The sequence below is a fragment of the Homo sapiens genome, chromosome 14 (assembly GCF_000001405.40).
Source record: "Homo sapiens chromosome 14, GRCh38.p14 Primary Assembly".
Taxonomy (NCBI): domain Eukaryota; kingdom Metazoa; phylum Chordata; class Mammalia; order Primates; family Hominidae; genus Homo; species Homo sapiens.
In genome coordinates, this window is record NC_000014.9 from 23,437,172 (window position 1) to 23,456,499 (window position 19,328).

General features: G+C 44.4%; 3 annotated features.

The window, feature by feature from the left end:
* Positions 207–1,834: an enhancer, noted in NCBI's record as "VISTA enhancer hs1670". NCBI's record gives its function as "enhancer in: branchial arch[7/9] | heart[9/9] | other[8/9]" and the evidence as "EXISTENCE:transgenic organism evidence [ECO:0001131][PMID:17130149]".
* Positions 964–1,464: an enhancer, noted in NCBI's record as "H3K4me1 hESC enhancer chr14:23907344-23907844 (GRCh37/hg19 assembly coordinates)". NCBI's record gives its function as "activates a minimal SCP1, AML or CMV promoter by ChIP-STARR-seq in primed H9 embryonic stem cells {active_cell/tissue: H9 hESC(primed)}" and the evidence as "EXISTENCE:reporter gene assay evidence [ECO:0000049][PMID:30033119]".
* Positions 5,233–6,543: an enhancer, noted in NCBI's record as "VISTA enhancer hs2330". NCBI's record gives its function as "enhancer in: heart[11/14]" and the evidence as "EXISTENCE:transgenic organism evidence [ECO:0001131][PMID:17130149]".

The following is a 19,328-nucleotide window of genomic DNA, read 5'->3' on the forward strand; positions in this document are numbered from 1 at the left end:
GTACAGTCTGAGGACATTGAGCAGCTATAAGGGGGGTGCAGGCAAGTGGGGGTAGACCACGAACTGCAAGGGCTGTGTCTGACAACACCGCAGCTCTGCAGTGCTAAGGTATACAGTTGCTGAGGTTATCCCAGTAGTCTGTGCTACTAACATGCCCGGCAGAACAGACTCTGGCAGTCCCCCCCAGGCCCTGCCAGGTGCTGAGGAATCAGCCCCATTGACAGAGACAGACCCTCTCAAAGCTATAGATAATACAGCTGCTTGGAGCTGGAAGGAAACCCCTAAGACAGCTGTTGTCTGAGGTTCCCTGTAGGAACCTCAAGGATTGGCGATGAGGGGCAAAAACTCCTTTCGTCCCCACCTTCCAGCTTTCCAAGCTCCAAACTGCCACCCCTCCCTGATTTCCCAGGGCAATTAAGATGCACAAAGGGTGCTTGGGACGTAGTTGAGCCATTTCAAAGCCAGTGTCTTCACCACAGGCCAGCGTCCTTCCTTGGCTGGGGACTTGGGTAGTCTTTTCTGCATTTGGGAAATCAATCACACTTTGTTTCTCTCCTTTCGGGTTTGGGAGGCTCTGGTCTGTTGGTGTTTGGGTGTTACTGTTCTCCACCCATGCCCCCTCTCATTGCAGATAGAACTCACCTCCCTAACTAGGCTTTGCCTCACAGCTCAGACAGATCAGAGGGCCTGCTGTCCTTAAAGATCCCCACTCACTCCCTAGCTCCTCCAGCACCTGCTCTTGGTTACATCATGATTCTCTTCCTGCTGCTTGCTGCTGTCTGAAGACTGAGCAGCTTTGCAGATTCCTCCATTCAACAAGTATTTATTGAGTGCCTACTATGTGCCAGGCATTATTCTGGTCAATAAGGACATAACAATGACCCAAAGAAAGATCCCTGCTCTGGACTGCTTTAGTCAACTGTTTGTAGAAATGGCATCCAGGCCTACCCTTTGCACACATGCACATTCCTTGTGGGGAGAGTGAGGGGCCAGGGGCCCCACCATGCTGGGGTGGGTGGGGATTGTGCAGAGTGTGCTACAAAGTGATAGCAAGATAAAGGAGAGCAAAGCAAAATGCTATAAATAAAGAGAGGCTGGAAGGAGGGCCGCTTCGGCAAGGTAGACCAAATAAGGCCTGAAGTGAAAGGAAGGTGATCTGTCCCCCGTCCTCCCCTCCCCGCATTGTGCCGGCTTTGTCTGCACTCTGTCACCACCCTGATCAAGTGTCAAGCCAAAACAGGGGCCATTTGCTGTGAACACGCCAGCGGTAGTTCAGAGGAAAAGTTGCTAAAATTACTCCCAGTAATTGTGAGGGAGGGAGACACCAGGGCGAATTAGAAGCGATGTCAGCATGGAGAGAGGGGAATCAGAAAAAAGCTCCGGTACCCAAAGGGAAGGAAGAAACGGGGCAGGAAGAGGCAGGGCACTTGGTGCAGGGGAGGAATGAGGCACTCGTTGTTTGTGCACAGGGCAGAGGGGAGCCACCCAGGAGTGGAGGCTGACTCTCCCATCCGCCTGCCCCCAGAATCCCTGACCTTGGGGGGACCCTGCCCTGGCTCCACACGAGCCTAGGATTAGGGAGCTGAGCTTTCTGCCTGTCTCAGATTTCCCTTTACAAACAGCTGCTCCTTCTTGTCATTCTTTTGTCTTCCTGCTGGCTTCAAAATCTTTTGTACTTGTGCACCCCCTCTCATTCCCTACTCTAGGTCTCTGCTTTCTGATGGATGTGAACAAAGAGAGAGATGGAGGGCCGGAGACAGGCTTGGGGCTGGCCTAGTTCACTTTGGGGTAGTTAGGGCAGGTTGATCTTGCCTTCAGGGAGTGTTTGGAGGGACACAACTCACCAAAAGGGAGACTTTGTGGGGAGTGACCGGTCTGGAGGGCCAGAGGCCTCAGAAGCATACAGGATGAGCAGTCTGGTCAGCTTTGGAGTCAGTCACAAAAATCCACTTTGAAACCCAGTGATTCCATTTTCTAGCTGTGTGGTCTACGTCAGTCATATAATTGCTTTGAGCCAGTTTTGTCATCTGTAACATGGGGATAGCCACATTTTGTTTCCAGGGCTACTCAGGCCATTAGAGATTGCACAAGCAGAGTCTACACACAGCAGACACACTGTGGGCCCTCACTGAATGGCAGCTCTTAGGTTAGGAACACAAAATTGAGGAAGCCAGGCTGCAGACAGGAGGGCCGGTTGCCCTGCCATAGGTTCTTTGTCCCCACACCTCCTTCAGCCCCACTAAGTCCACTTGGTTCAAAGGATGGTCTGGACCAGAGTAGATCAGAAATCCTGCAGTCTTGTGGTCGGCTCTACCCAGACTGTGACTGCCCTTGGGAACGTCATGCCAGGAGGCCAAGGTTCTCAGACTGTCCTAGACTCAGTCTAGGCCCACAGTCCAGCCCTGAGCTGGGATAGGCATCACTGCTTGACTGCTGCCCACTGAGCTTCCCTCATGACAAGCCAGTGTGTCCTGAGGTCCAGCAGGAGTTGACCCAGGCCAAGTGGTGACATTGGTCAGGCCACCAGATAGGAGCAGGCTGGGCGTTGGTGGCTCACACCTGTAATCACAGCAGTTTGAGAGGCTGAGGCAGGCAGATAACTTGAGGTCAGGAGTTTGAGACTAGCCTGACCAACATAGTGAAACCCCGTCTCTACAAAAAATACAAAAATTAGCCGGGCATGGTGGTGCACTCCTGTAGTCCCAGCTACTCAGGAGGCATGAGAATCGCTGAAGCATGAGAATCACTTGAATCTGGGAATCGGAGGTTGAAGTGAGCTGAGATCGCACCACTGCACTCCAGTCTGGACAGAGTGAGACTCTGTCCCAAAATAAAATAAAATAAAATAAGCTTTCAAGATGGGGACATGACAGTGGAGCTTGGTGAGGGGAGGGCTTTAAGAAGCACTGAGTATCAGGATATGTTCTGGGCAATGAGAATCACAGAGTGACCAAAGGCATGGAAGGGGAACGGTGTGGTGAGTTCATAAGGACTCGGAGGACACATGCCTGATGAGGCTATGCGTATGGGGGATCTGGAGACATAGGTGGAAGGAAAAAAAGGTAGGGCCCCAATGTCGGAGAGGGGAAAGGGCTATATACATATTGAGTGACCACCTGTGCCAGGTGCACAGTGTTTTATACACCATGATCTCACACATGTTCACAATTGTGTGTCACTTTAATTGTGTTTTATGGAGGAGCAATGGGGTTCAGAGAGGCTAAGATGTTTGCTCAAGGTAAGTAGCAAACGTGGCACTGGGATTCAGACCCAGGTCTGTCTTGCTCAAAGGGCTTTCTACGGACTCTGCCCTGTTTCCCAGGACAGCAAAATGGATAATACCCTGGAAGCAATGAGGAATGACTAAAGTTCTAAACCATGGCAGTCATTGTGATGTCTTGAAACCAGAGTTTGATGGGCCTAGCAGGGGTATTATTGGGTGCTTTGCGGAAGAGAGGCTGGAGGCAGGGAGACCCGAGAGGAGGATACAGTAGCCATCAACGTTGGCAGGAAAGCGAGACCAGCAGCATGAAGCGGAAAGGCAAGGCTGGAAGGCCTTTCTAAAGAAGGAATAAAATGCCTTGCTAACAGCCTGGACGCAAGAAATGAGGAAGGGAGAGGCATGACTGCACGATGTCGGCAAGGATGGGAATAATGGCAAAAGGGACACGTAGGAGGAAGGACAGTGTTCCGTTTGGGGGAAATGGAGGTAAGAGTGGGGCAACCAATGGAAGATGTTTTGCTTTCCTGAAGGAAGCTGGAGCTATGAGACCAGTGGGCAGAACTGGATAAAGAGGGCTGACTACCTCGGGGGATGTGAAAGAAGCCATGAGGTTGGAGAGAAGAGGAAAGGCCTGGGAGATACCCACAGTACAGCGATGGGAGAAGGAAGAGAAGCCCGCAGAGAAGAGAAGGAGATTCAAAGACAGCTAAGGAGAGTGAGAAATGGGCAGTTTCCTAGAAGCCAAAAGAAGCATTTCAAGAAGAGCAGGTGGCCAGCAGTGTCAGATGCCAAAGAAAGCCTGTGTATCAGGAAGACAGAGAAAAGAACTTGGATTATCTTGGAGCAAGCAGCTTGTGTAGTGTCACAGGCAAAGCCAGGCCACAGGGAGTTAATGAGGAAAAAGATGAGTGGACAGGAAGTGGAAGCAGTGGGTGTACACCATGCATTTGAGGAGTTTGGCAGTGAAATGAATGAGATTAGACAACAACTCAAGGGAAGAGGGCCAAGTAGCACGGTTTGTTTTGTTTTTAAGGTAGGGTATTCCAGAATATGTGAAGAGGGGGTAATAAAAGATGCCCTTGTTTTGTTCACCATTTTCTTTTGCACTTTCTGGTTGTTTTCTTATTCTCATCTCCCTTTTTGGAAGCCTGGGGGGTGCTTTGAGAATGCCTAGAGAGTTTGGGTACCCACCACCAGAAAGTGGGCTTGCAAACATGAGGCTCAGCTGGCTCCCTCCTCATCTTCAGATATGCACGTAGGGAGCTCAAGGCAGAGCTCGATACAGCCCTGGCTGTCATCATTGGGCCCACTCACTGGCTGGAGAAGGGTCTCAGCCTCCTGAGTTCCATCGTATAAAGATTAAAGTAGGGCTGGAGGGCAGGGAGTAGCCCTAGCGAATGATCTGGAAACATATGTAGTGCTCAGCAATTCAATGTCTTCTGCTTGTTTTTGCTTCACTATTTTTACTTTACGTAGAAAGACAATGTCCCTGGTGTGAAGGTACAGGTGCCTTTACTGGGCCCAACCTACAACTCAGCCCCAAGAGAGCTTCCTAGTCTCTTAGGGCAGGGCTTTTGCTGGTGCTCCAGGAGAATGGTGGAATGCTGACCCTTCTGGGATGTTCTGTGCTGTAGCAGACATTTGAGACTGCAGCAGCACTTGCTGGGTGTGCAAGCCCAGCAGAACCTTAATTCCACTTTAGTGCAGAACCTTAATTCCAGTCCTTTGCTATACATGCCTCAAAGTTCTCCACAAGAGTTAGAAACTGAGTAAGTAGGCAACAGATACACACATTATGCAGGTTCTTCCAGCCATGGGAGAAGGTGGTAAGTGACCTCCCTGGGTCTGAGAGTCACAAAGTCAGATTTGGAACAGAGGGGCCTGGGGAGCTGGCTGGTGCTTTTCTCCAGGGAAACTTTTCCAGGGCAGCTAGCAGTCCCAGTGCCAGACTGCCTCTTGGGTCCATGAATCAGATTGGAGGCTGAGAGCTGGTCAGGCTCCTGGATGTCTGAAGGGACCAGTGCAGAGGTTTAGCTTCCCTACCTGTAGCAAGGAAAGAAGGGCCTTTATCAAAGGTCTGGGAGTTTACTAGATTAAAACAGCTGAACCATTCTAAGCAGGAAGAGTGGGAAGGAAGCAAGATGGGACAGTAGTTGGTTTGCTGGGAGTGAGGAAAAGTCAGGAAAGGGGTCCATGGAGAGGCTGGGAGAGGGGCAGAGGGGGAGATATGCAGAGATATTGCATAGTAGCGGGGCTGGGGGAGCTGAGGTCCGGCTGTGGGAACAAAGACAGTGGAGTGACGAGGCTAAGACTGCAGAAAAGGTGCAGAGCTGTGTGTCTGTGCATGGTGGAGGAGATGACCTTGCCCAAGGGCAGAGCCTTGTGGCTCTGAGAAGCCAGGGCAGGGGGCACAGGCTCCAGCCTGGTCTCCCCGTGCCTGGGCCCCTTGTCTCTGAGATTACAGCCTTGGCTGCCAAGAGCAGCTCCATGGGGGTGGTGTGGAACAAAGCGAACGGCCCTTTTGTGATTCTGGGTTCCTAAGAATAGCTTGGCTGTGTGTGGGGAGGTGTCTGTAGCCTGCCTGTCCTGGGTCTTGTTCTCAGAGGTGTTCGAATGCCTGGTGTTGGCGGGGCTCATTGCTAGTTGCTGGGGTAGTGGAGGCCGTCAGCCCACCTCAGCCTCTGTTACCTGTGCTTGTCCAGCTCAGCTTTGGGAGAAGGCTCAAGGCCCAGGGACAGTGGAGGGGCAGACACGGAGTGGCCCCAAGGTGTTAAGGGAGAGAAGACAAAGGCCACAAGCCTGGAAAACAAATTTGATGCCTGAAAGTGAAGACAGGGAGGGTTCTGGGAAGGTAGGGGTTGAGGGACAGCAGCCAGAAGAGGCCAGAGCAGGGATGGACATGTGGGAAGGACTTGTGGGACATGGAGGAGAAGCAGAGAGAATAGGTGCACGCGGAGGCCAGAATGTGGAAAGCAAAGGGATGAGGAATGGTCCAGGGGAGGGGGAGCAGGATGGACGGGTTGACAGAGAAGAGCAGATGGAAGGAGAGAAGAGAACGAAGCGGGAAAGGCAGTGGGCACTTCCACAGAGATTGGAGGGGGGTGGCATGACTCTTGGAAGAGCTTGGAAGCAAGGCTCTCAAACGCCATTCCTGTGAGATAACAATGCAGTCAAATCCCTCCCTAATCTCCCCTCCTATTATTAGCCCAGCGTCCTCTCAGAGAATAGGCCACAGGTCCCTGGGCTCTGTCCTTTCCCCCATGCCCTTGGCTGGAATTAGACAGACGTGCCTGCATGGTCATCTGCTAACCACGGTGTCCGGACTTCTAGGCAATGTCATTGGACAAGAGGATAGAGAGGTAGTGGGAAGGGGATGGAAGGTCACCGGACACCCTCCGTGGACGAGGCAGCAGCTAGACACAGAGAGGGGTGAAGGGGTGCACTAGAGGTCTTTGTGCTCAAAGACTTTTCAGATCAATAGAATAAATACACAAGCAACATGATCACAAGTACAAAATAACATGGTTAACACGTGCAAAATAACTGGAAAGTCAAACACATAGCCATGGGGATGCAAAAGAGCTGTCATGAAAGGGCAGAGCAGAGAGGGGAGGGTTTCTGGGGAAGGTGAGCTTGGAGGTGGGTCTTGAGAGGATGGATCTCGAGGAACCACGTCCACAGCTGCTGGCCAATGCTGTGGGCATTCCGGAGGAAAGAAGGGAATCAAGGAGACAGTGGCTTCTATGTCTACTTTTCTGGCCCAGCCTCTAGGGGCAAGGTTGTTAAAAGCTTAATAGCAGACTCCTGGGTTTTTAAGCACACTGGTATTTGTTGCTATTTATTTAAAACTGCTGTTTCTTTCTTGTCCAGCGTGGTCCTTTTACGTTTTCCCCTTAGCCTCCCTCTTGCCTCTAGTATCCCTAAATACTGTTTATCATTTTGATACTTAAAATGGCCAAAAGTTATCATACATATTTTTATTTTGAGCTCTTTTGACTCTGACAAATCGAAACAAAATAAATACTTGATGAATAATGTACCAAAGAAAGTGAGCAGCTGCTGTTCTGTGTTCCTATGAGGGCTCCAATTGCTCTTGCAGGATGAGGGACATAGATGAGATTCTCTGGATCATATTCAGGGAGAGGGTGGAGGAGGGTGGAGGTAGCTTGCTTTCTCTCTCTCTTTTTCTTTCTGTTCCTTCTCTCTCTCAACTTGCTTTTTTCTTCCTCTCTCCTTCTTTCCTTCCTTTCTTTCCTTTCTCCCAAATTATAAAAGTAATGCTCATTACTTTAAAAATTCAAACAATAAATCTTCTATAAGGCAAAACAAGTGAAGTCCCTTCCGCTGTTCACAATCCCATCCCCAAAGGTTAATAGTCAGAGTGTATCCTGTGCTTGTCCATTTGGAACCTTTTATGTATATGCATAAAATACATGTTGGGATTTTTTTTTTTTTTTGACAGAGTCTCACTCTGTCACTCAGCCTGGAATGCAGTGGTGTGATCTCTGCTCACTGCAACTTCTGCCTCCCAGGTTCAAGCAATTCTTGTGTCTCAGCCTCCCCAGTAGCTGGGATTACAGGTGCGCACCACCACACCCAACTAATTTTTTAGTAGAGATGGGGTTTCACCATGTTGCCCAGGCTGGTCTCGAATTCCTGAGCTCAGGTGGTCTACCTGCCTCGGCCTCCCAAAGTGCTGGCATTACAGGCATGAGCCACCACACCCGTGGATTAAAAAAAAAATAGAGACAGAGTCTTTCTATGTTGCCCAGGCCGGTTTTGAACTCCTGGACTCAAACAATCCTCCTGGCTTGGCCTCCCAAAGTGCTGGAATTATTGGGATGAGCCATTATGCCCAGCCACATGGGAATTTTTTTCAACTGGGATATAAAAAAATGAAACATATATATTCAACCAGGGAATGCTGACTTAAAAAAAATGTATGTAGTTTTTGGAAGCTTCTCAAGTCATTAATGATTCCAGGATCCCTCTTCAAGTGACACATGTGGACAGTTACCAGAGTCTTCAGAGGCTATATAGTAATCAGCACTCAAAAGTGAATCAAAGTGAATTTTGAGAAATGAATGAAAGAGGCCAAGGAAGGATAAGAAAGAGGATGCCAACCCCTTTTAACTTCAGCCCTTCTTTGTTCCTGGACATCCTCCTCTCAGGAGAGGTCACTTGGACAACATCTGTCTGGGGTCAGAAGTGACAGTAGGTGCATGGTAGACTCTCGGGTCATGGGAGATTATCCTCATGGCAGAGTCACCTGTCCCTGCTTGTGAAAAAGACTTTTTTTTTTTTCACAATGGTAGCGTTGGCATAATGATGCCTAGTAATTACTTTTGCAAGGCTGGTTCTGAAATGCCACATTTTTCATGCTCAGAAAAAGGTGGTCATTTTATCTGGTCGTTTTTCTGTTTTGAACTCTGGAACTCATCCTGAATGTCACATTTGTACCTGTTCTTTGTGTGGAAGCTCTAAAGTGGCCTTTAGCCAAAAGTCAATCAAAAGTTTTGAGCAAGATCCTAATATAGTTGATGACTGATGCAGCCCTTGAGCTGACAGCTGGTGTAGCATGGATGGCTGGATTCCTGATGTGAAAGTATGAGACCAGAAGCAACTGAAACGCCCAACTCTCTACTCTCATTCTGCTCTGTGCTGCTCCCCCTCCTCCCCACTGCGGGCCCCACACGAAGCCAATACTAATTCCCCAGTTTCTGCCTTTTCAGAGACCCACTGTGTGCCCTGCCCAATCAAAGGGAAAAGGTGGGATGGAAAAAAGGAAAGAAAAATATAAGATAATTATTATGGCTCCTGACAGCTCTGTCAGTAGGATAAGGGCCTGAGATATGGAACCATCCTCTCTTGCAAACAGGGAGCATGCATGTGGAGGACCAAAGGTGGGAGGAAGGCTTGAAATCAAGAGAATGGAGGGTGAGAAAGGGAAGTGCAGGGAGTGGGGTCTACAGCCCCAAAGGTGAGCCTCAGGAAGGCCTCACCTCTCTGGGCAGTGCCAAGAATCCTGGGGAAGAAAATATGAGGAGTGGCCTGGCTCCCAGCCCTTGTGTCCTACTTCCCCTCTCCCATGCCTCATTATACCTGAAGGGCCAGTCCTGCCCCTGTCCCTGGATGCATGTGAGAACCCAGGAGGAGGACCTGCATGGGCTCTGGCCTACACTTGGAGTCTCAGCATCGTCACTCTTGCTGCTGTGCCCTAGTTCTAGAAATTCAGCTTCTATCTTGTTCCTAAGACTTGGGCCCCACCCTGTGCCGCAGGCCGGTAACTGAGCCCTGGTTCCCTCTGCCAGAGGCCTTGTCTTGGTAACCCTCTTCGTCTTCCTGGCCCTGTCTACTTCTCAGGGATTAGATTTTTCCCTTAAGCCCCAGCCAAGAAGCCAGGGGCACTGTTTCCTGCTCATAGAAGGAGATAGCATATTTTGATAACTAAGAACATAGATTTTGGAGTCAGACTTAGGTTAAAAAATCCTGGCTCTACCACGAACCAGCTATGTGACCTGGGTGTGTCATTTACCCTCTCTGAGAAAAAACATGCAGTATCATGTGCAGTCTTATGACCCAAAATATAATCCATAGACTGGCAGCATCAGCATCAGTGGGAGTTTGTTAGAATTGCAGAACCTCAGGCCCCAGCCTAGATCTATTGAGACATTAGCATGTTAACAAGAACCCAAGGTGATTTTGTGCACATTAAAGTTTAAGAAGCACTAATGTAGAGGAAAGAGCACAGGCTCTGGAACCAAGAAGATCTTGCTCTGAATCCCAGCTCTAAACCTCAGTCTTATCTGTAAAATGTGGATGGCAATACCTACTCCATATACTTATCTTGAGGATTATGTATATGAAGTTACAGGCACATGTTCTAAGAAACAGTGAATTCACTAACAGTGAATGTATCTATTACTATCTATGGCCTGCTTGGCTTTCCAAACCTGTTCCAGTGCCCTCTTATTAGAACATCTTCCTGATTCTGATTGCTTTAATAGACTACCTCCTTTCATCTGCTGCCAGGCTAGTCCACATCCTTCCAGCCTCTGCAATGAGAATATTCTCTGAGATCTGCCCCATCTCACTGGGTCCTGTCTAACTCCAGATCCCAGGTCCTTCCAGGCCTACTGTTCTGCTCCAGTTAACAGGAACACAGCTTACCACACCCCAGGAATTCATTCCACCAACATTGATTAGCACCAGCTTTGTGGCAGGCATAGTCTTGACTTTGGGAGCTCACAGAATAATGTTGTTAAAAAGATTAACTGAGGCACATAAGATTTAAAAGAGTTTACTTGAGCAAACAGCAATTCGTGAATCAGTCAGCTCCAAACCAGAAGTGGCTGGGGGGCTCCACTAAGGGTACACAAGTGGGAGGCTTTTACAGGAGGAACATGGAAGTAAGGCAAATAAAACATTTGATTGGTTACAGGTATACAGCTGTCTTATTTGGTCTGTCCTGTTAGAAAGTCCCTAGTCACATAATTATAAGTTTGTTGGTTGCTTCTGATTCATTGAGCTTAAGTTCTGTTTTTCTTTAACATAGGCATTTACAAGAAATAGCCCAAGTTAAGTTTCACTTATGTTCACAAATCAAGCAAGGTTAAGATCACTTAAGAGGCCTAACTGGCTTTTCCTGCTCAGGGATTCCTCAGGCCCAGTGTCCATTTCAATTACTTTAACACCGTAGCAGGGCAGACAAGCACAGAGGTGGTTACAATATAACAGAACAGGTACTATAATGGAGGAAGTACCAGGTGCTATGAAGGGCAAAGTCCGGATGCCATGGGAGCATGAAGCAAGGCCACGTGATTTGGACTGGCGATCAGGGAAGGCTGTCTGGAAGAAACACCATTTTAGGCGAGACTTAAAGGATAAATTGGAATATGTATTAGTCCGTCCTCACATTCCTATAAAGAAATCCCAGAAACTGGGTAATTTATAAAGAAAAGAGGTTCAATTGGCTCACCGTTCTGTAGGCTGTACAGGAAGCATAGTGGCATCTGCTTCTGGGGAGGCCTCAGGAAGCTTCCAATCATGGTGGAAGGTAAAGAGGGAGCAGGCACGTCACAATGGTGAAAGCAGGAGCAAGAGAGAGAAGGGGAGGCGCTGCACACTTTCAAATGACCAGATGGCACCAGAACTCACTCACTACCGTGAGGACAGTACCAAGGGGGATGCAGCTAAACCATTCATAAGAAATCTGCTCCCATGATCCAGTCACCTCTCACCAGGCCCCACCTCCAACATTGGGGATTACATTTCAATATGAGATTTGGGTGGGGACACAGATACAAATTATATCAGAATATGTCAAGAAGGAGCTGAGCAGAGAAGCCAGCGTGTCCAAAGCCCCAAGAGGAACTGAAATTGATTCAGAATGGCTAAAGTATGGGAGTAATCAGGGGAATATGACAAGAGAAGAGCCTAGAAGGCAGGTTCAGCTGGTCATGAAGGACCTTCTGAACCAAGTTAAGGAAGTTTGGACTTTAATCTATAGGCACTGAGCAGCTATTAATGTGTATTAAAAGAGATCATGATACTATCTGATTTTATAGAATAGGTGGCATAACCAGTGATTCTTGGGGGAAAGCAACGTTTAGTTTCTGATTCATTTGCATGAGAGATTCTAGACTTGTGGTCACAGGTAAAGAATGAAGAAACCTACCTAGAGAAACTGGGAACTAGAGAAGAGAAAGGGGAAGGGATCCAGGAGAAAGGTACTCAGTTACATTTATACTATTCGGCAGATTCCACCTTCGAAATGTCCCGCCTCCTCCTTTCTTTTCCATTCTCTTGAAAAACACTAGGCAAGCCCCTTTTTCACGTCTGCATAATTGCAACAGCACCTTAACTAGTCTTCCAGAGGCTCATTTCACCAGATGGCTAGCAGACTTGATTTTCTAAAGCACTACCTCTTACATATCTGTCATTCATAGAAACTTCCAGGGCTCCCTGTTGTCTTTAAGATGAAGCCTGGACTCCTCTGGCTGGCATTTAAAGACCCTCCATAAGCTGGCCCAACTGCCCCACCTTATCCCTTCACAGTCTCCCCCCAGGTCTGACTGGTCTATGGACAGCACCCTCACCCCAGGTTGGGCTTTCTCAGTCCCTGACCTTGTCGGGACTTTTTCTGGCTGCTTTTCTAGGCACAGCTCAGTGGCTCTCCTTTGAAAGCACTTGCCAGTCCAACACAGCTGACCCTGAAACACACAAAACAAACTTTGTTGAAACTTTACAACTACAAAAATGACACCCAAGATCTCCTACCCAATCACATTATTCTCCTTTGTTCAGTTCTTTCCAAGGGGTGTGTATATGTGTATAATACATATTTTTTGTATGGCTGCTGTGTGTAGATATATATGTACATAATCTCATAAAACACCAATTAGCATTTCATATTCTTACAATCTTATATTTCATAAATGGGGATAATAATATTGCTAACCTATGGGTTTGCTGTCAGATAACTTAATACAGTGATATAGTTTAAATATGTGTCCCCCCAAATCTCATGTTGAAATGTAATCCTCAGTGTTGGAGGTGGGGACTGGTGGGAGGTGTTTAGGTCCTGGGCGTAGATTTCTCATGAATGGTTTAGCTCCATCCCCTTGGTGCTGTCCTCACCATAGTGTGTGTGTTCTCTCAAGATCTGATTGTTTAAAAGCGTGTGGCACCCTCTCCCTGTCTTGCTCCCGCTCTTGCCATATGACATGCCTTCTCCTGCTTTGCCTTCTGCCATGAGTAAAAGTTCCTTGAGGCCTTCCCTGAAGCTGAGCAGATACTGTAAAGCCTGCAGAACTGTGAGGCAATTAAACCTCTTTTCTTCGTAAATTACCCAGTCTCAGGTACTTCTTCATAGCAATGCAAGAATGGCATAATACATACAGAGATTCTCAAACTTGTTCATGCTGCAGAATCACACAGAAGCTTTGTTAGGACACATTTTCTTGGCTGGGTGCAGTGGCTCATGCTTGTAATCCCAGGACTTTGGGAGGCAGATCATTTGAGGTCAGGAGTTTGAGACCAGCCTGATCAACATGATGAAACCCCATCTGTATGAAAAATACAAAACAATTAGCTGGTGTGGTGGTGCATGCCTATAATCCCAGCTACCTGGGAGCCTGAAGCAGGAGAATCACTTGGGCCTGGGAGGTGGAGACTGCAGTAAGCCGAGATTGCATCACTGCACTCCAGCCTGGGATGCCTGAATTTGCATACCAGATGCTACTGGATTGAGGACCACACATTGAGAACCACTGAATTAATGCATGTAAAGTGCTCAGAATAGTGCCTGGCATGTAGTAAATGCCCAATAAATGGAGCTACGGAGCTATTCATTTGCTATTTCTGAGTAAAAATATTAACATTTACTTGTTTGATATTTAGATTGTTTATAGTTTTAAATAACATTGTTATTGAGATATAATTCATGTGCCATAACATTTACCATTTTACAATATACGATTCAGTAGTTTTTAGTATATTCAGAGTTGTGCAAGCATCACCACTATCAAATTTTAGAACATTTTCATCACCCCCAAAAGAAATACCATACCTATTAGCAGTTACTCCTCTTTCCCACTGACTCCCTGTTTGTAGTTTTTTTGAACTTATAAATAAAGTATCTCTAAACATAAGTACACATGGCTTCTTTTTATTTTGAATGATTTCAATAGAACAAATTCTAGGAGACGAATTCCTTAGTCAAAAATTATGAATATGTTTACATATAGCCACTCTTTGAAAGCATTAATTTACAATCATTGTGGCTTTTTTTCCTGCTGTTGCTTTTCATTGTTAGCATATTGCTTATTCTTACACCGCTTCAGTTTCCTTAAGTTGATGGCACCAGAATATGAGGTCCTTGGGGTTGAGAACTGTAATATTTTCATCTTTGTGTCCCCTAGGGCTACACTACTGAGTGTGGTAGTCACTAGCCAAACATGGCTGTTGGGTACTTGAAATGTGTCTAGTGCAACTGAGACACTGAATTTTTCATTTAGTTAAAATTTAAAATGAAGGGAGATCAATTTATTTTCAACAAAGATTCCAAAACAATTCTTTGAGGAAATGGTGCTGGATACACACATGCAAAAAGATACATTTAGACCACACCCCACACTATACACAAAAATAACTTAAAACAGTTCAGAGACTTACATGTAAGATCTAAAACTTACAATTTTTGGAAGAAAACGTAGGAAAAGTCTTTGGTTAGGAAACAAGTTCTTACATACAATACCAAAAGCATAATCCACAAAAGACAAAATTGTAAGTTGGACTTCATCAAAGTTGAAAGATTTTGTGCTTCAAAAGATGTCATTAAGAAGATTAAAATTTTAAAAAGAAAATTAAAATCTAAGCCACAGACTGGAAGAAAATACTTGCAAATCATATTTCTAATAAAGGACTTGTGTTAAGAATAGATAAAGAACAAGTACAACTCAATAATAATACAAGAAAATTTTAAAATAGTCAAAAGATTTATAGACTTAAAGTCAGCTAATTAGCAAGGTTAAAGAAAGAAAAGATTTATAGATATTTCAACAAAGATATGCAAATGTATAACAAGCACACAAAATATGCTCAACATCATCAATCATTATAGAAATTCTAATTAAAACCTCAATGAGATAGCACTTCATACCCATGAGTGTGACTATAATAAAAAAGAAAGGCAATAATAAATTGTGGCTAGGATGTGGAGAAACCAAAACTCTCCAACATTGCTGGTGAGAACGTAAAATGCAACAGCTACTTTGGAAAACAGTTTGAACTTTTCTTAAAAGCTTAACTGACATACATGTACCAAATAACTCAGCCATCCACTTTTGGGTATTTACTCAATAGAAAAGAAAGTATATATCCACACAAAGACTTATATAAACAAGTTCAAACAAGCGTTTGTTCATAAACGCTTGGATATTATTCATAATATCCAAAAAGTGGAAATAATCCCAATGTTTATCATTAGGTGAACAGATAAACAAAATGTGGTACATCCATACAATGGAATATTATTCAGCAATAAAAAGGAATGAGTACTGATACATGTTATTAATGTAACATGGATTAACCTCAAAAACATGCTAAATGAAAGAATCCAGATGAAAAGGCCACATATTTTATGATTCCATTTCTATGAAATGTCCAGAAAAGGAAAATCTATGAAGACAGAAGGCAGTGGCTGCCTGAAGCTGGTGGTGGAAATGGCAATGGACTGCAAATGGGTGTAAGGGATCCCTTTGGAGCATTGGGAATGCTCTAAATTGGATTGTGGTGATGCTTGCACAAATGTAAATTTTCCTTAAAAATAATTGAATTGTATAAAAGGGGTGAATTTTATGCTATGTAAATTATACCGCAATAAAGCTCTTAAAAAACTAAAGCAGTGTAAAATACTTTCGGTAAAACACAGCTTTGTTGTTTTGGTAGGATTGTTTTACTTCAACGATCAACATAAGATATTGTCGTATTATAGTAACATATCAAGAATATGTGTTGTTTCTAGTGTATACACAAACATCACCAAACTAGTTGTTGTCAATAGATTGATTTGCTCCAGTGCGTTTTTCTCACACTAATTTAACATTATAATGTGTTTATTTGAATATTTGATATAGACAGCATGGTTATAGTGATACCTATATAGAGTCATAATTGGTAATTAAATTGAAATACTTATTATTTTAATTTAATAAATATAACATTTTTATAGTTGAAAAATAAGTATGTACAAAATGTTTTAGTTTAAAACGAAGGCATGTTACTAACATAGAATCTAGTGGGAACACTTCTGATTGTGAACACTCCAACATGTAAAGAGATTATAAGTCGGTCACTCTCATTCTCAAAGCAAGAAGAAAGCTGAACTGAAAACCTACAACTTTTCTTAGTTCTATCAGAGAATTTTGGCTACAGGACAAACTATCACCCTGAAAACTGGAGAGACGGGTGAATACGGAGAATACAAGCCAGCTTACCTGAAGCAGGAGGTGCTGGAACCAGTAACTGACAGGAACACCTAAATGGTAACTTCGATGAATTGCCAGAGGCTGAGCGTGAATTAGCTTGAGAGTTAAAAACTCCTGGGACCCCAGTCTAAGGGGAGAACCCACACTTTCATGAGTTTTACCTCCCACCAGGTTCTCATGATGAAGAATGGAGAGAAATATCCTTATGTTTGGCAGGGCGAGGGTAAAGTGACCATTTAGAAATAAAACCAGAGCTTTCTCCACAACTAAGGCCTATCCAGCAGGGGGAAAGCCTTTGCCGATGTCTTCTTTTACTTGGGGAAAGGGAAATTATCTAGCTCCATCACATTCTGGACTTCCTGTCTCACATATGAGGTAAAAAACAAAACAAAACAAAAAAATACCCTAAGAAACAATTCATTCTGGACTTCTTATCTCACATATGAGGTACAAAACAAAACAAAACAAAAAAATACCCTAAGAAGCAATTATGAAGGTTACAGTCTAGAGTCACAGGTCCACTAAAATACTGAGCTCCAATCATGGGACTATAGAATGCTCTCCTACCCAGTATCTTGCTACCACATCAACAGGACTCCTGAATAGTAAAAGTGGATTATAGCTGACAGGGCTGCAAGGCTTAGATTCTATTTACGAAGGAGTTTCTAAGGAAACTCAAAGACAACAGAGGAGGCAAACACAAGGACTTTAGAAGAAATTAAAATCTTTGACACCTACTGCTGCAGCAAACTAAACACAGTCTAACTCCTGGTCAGATAAAAATAAAAATAAAACTTCACACACAGTCTACCTCAATTCCTATTACCATGTCTGCTTTCAGCAAAAAATTACAAGGCGTGCTAAAAGACAAGAAAAAATACAATCCAAAGAGACATAGCCAGCATCAGAACTAGACTCAGATGTGGCAGAGATTTTGGTATTATCTGTTTTAAAATGTACTGAAGATTTTGTTTCAATCAAGTATGGTAAAATGACAAACATGGAGACAACTGCCTTGAAAGAAGAGCTTATTACAGTTCTTAAGGGGAGGGGACAACTCATGCCACACAGGGCCAGATGGAGAAGCATCCGGTTCAGTCAGGAGGTAGACAGAGAGAGAAAAGCATGGACACAAGCCTTTATTGTGTTTCCCACAGGAAAGGAAGGCAGGGCAAGGTAAATAGCTTAGCTTTGACAAGTCTGGACAATTTCAGCAGGCTCTGTGTTACAGCAGTGATCTCTAGTTGTCTGGTCTCTGGCCCTGGGATTAATTAGGGCAGGGGAAGTACTGGCTTGGTGTGCAAGAGTTAGATAAAGGAGGTGGTTAGGGATACAAGCTTTGGATTGGTTGGTTTGCTGGATGCTCATGGGCAAGTTGTTTACTGCCTCTAGAAATTAGTTAGCTCTGGAAGAGGCAGTCTTTCCAGGATTAGCAGGCCCCTAAGATGTCAAAACCTCATAAAATACAGAAAATTAAAAAACATGATTAATACATTATTGGAGTGGAAATTTAAATTAACTATGATTAATATGCTAAGGACTCTAATGGAAAAAAAGTGGATAATATTCAAGAACAGATGGGTAATGTAAAGCAGAGAGATGAGAACTTTAGGAAAGAATCAAAAGGAAACGTTAGAGTCAAAAACACTGACCAAAAAGAAGAATGCCTTGATGGATTAGTAGACTGGACATGGCTGAGGAAATATTCAATGAGCTTGAAGATATGTCAATGGAAACTTCCCAAACTGAAATGCAAAAAGAAAAGTAACTATATTCAAGAACTGTGGGACAATTACAAAATATGTAATTATGTGTAATGGAAATACCAGAAGGAGAAGGAAATGGGCAGAATAAATATTTGAAGTAATAATGGCAGGCTGGGTGCAGTGGCTCACTCCTGTAATCCCAGCACTTTGGGAGTCCGAGGCGAGCGGATCACAAGGTCAGGAGTTCAAGACCAGCCTGACCAACATGGTGAAACCTTCTCTCTACTAAAAATACAAAAATTAGCCAGGTGTGGTGGTGGGTGCTTATAGTCCCAGCTACTTGGGAGGCTGAGGCAGGAGAATCACTTGAACCCAGGAGGCAGAGGTTGCAGTGAGCGAGATCACGCCACTGCACTCCAGTCTGGTGACAGAGCGAGACTTCATCTAAAAAAAAAAAAAAAGCTGAGAATTTTTTTAAATTAATGACAGAAACCAAACCATAAATGCAGGAAGATTAGACAAAAATATCAAAGCAGGATAAATACCAAAAAAAACCCTATACCTGGGCATATCATATTCAAATTGCAAAAACCAAAGACAAAGAGAAAATCTTAAAGAAGAGAAAAAAATTACCTATAGAGGAATGGATAAGAATGAAAATGTAATTTCTTGTCAGAAATCTGCATGCAAAAAGAGAGTAAAGTGAAATATTTAAAGTGTTGAAAAAAAAATCCACCCAAACTAAAATTTTGAATACAATGAAATTATCTCTCAAAAGTGAAGAGAAAATAAAGACTTCCTCAGGGGACCCTTTCTATTTTGGAGAATGGAGGCTACTCCAGTTAAAAAAAAAAAAAAAAAGTTCTCAAACAAACAAAAGTGAGGGAATCTGTCACCAGCAGACCTGCCTCTCAAGAAATGCTAAAAGACGATTACATAAATCAGAAACTTGCATCTACATAAAGAAAGAAGAACATCAGAGAAGGCAAAAGATGAAGATAAAATAAATCTTTTTCTTAATCCTATCAGATCTAATAGATAACTGTTTGTTCAAAGTAATAATAGCAGCAATGGATTGGGTGATTAGAGCACATGAACAAGTGGTTCGATGAATTATAGCAATGTTAGTAGAGAAGGGAGGGAGGAATTAGGAATACTCTGTTATATTATAAGGTACCTGCATTAACCGTGAGACAGAATATTATTTGAAAGTGGATTTCGATTAGTTGTAAATGTATATTGCAAATCCTAAGGCAACCACTAAAAAATTTTTGTAAGAAGTGTAACTGGGGCTGTGCATGGTGGCTCACGCCTGTAATCCCAGCACTTGGGAGGCCAAGGTGGGTGGATCACCAGAGGTCAGGAGTTCGAGACCAGCCTGGGCAATGTGGGAAAACCCCGTCTCTACTA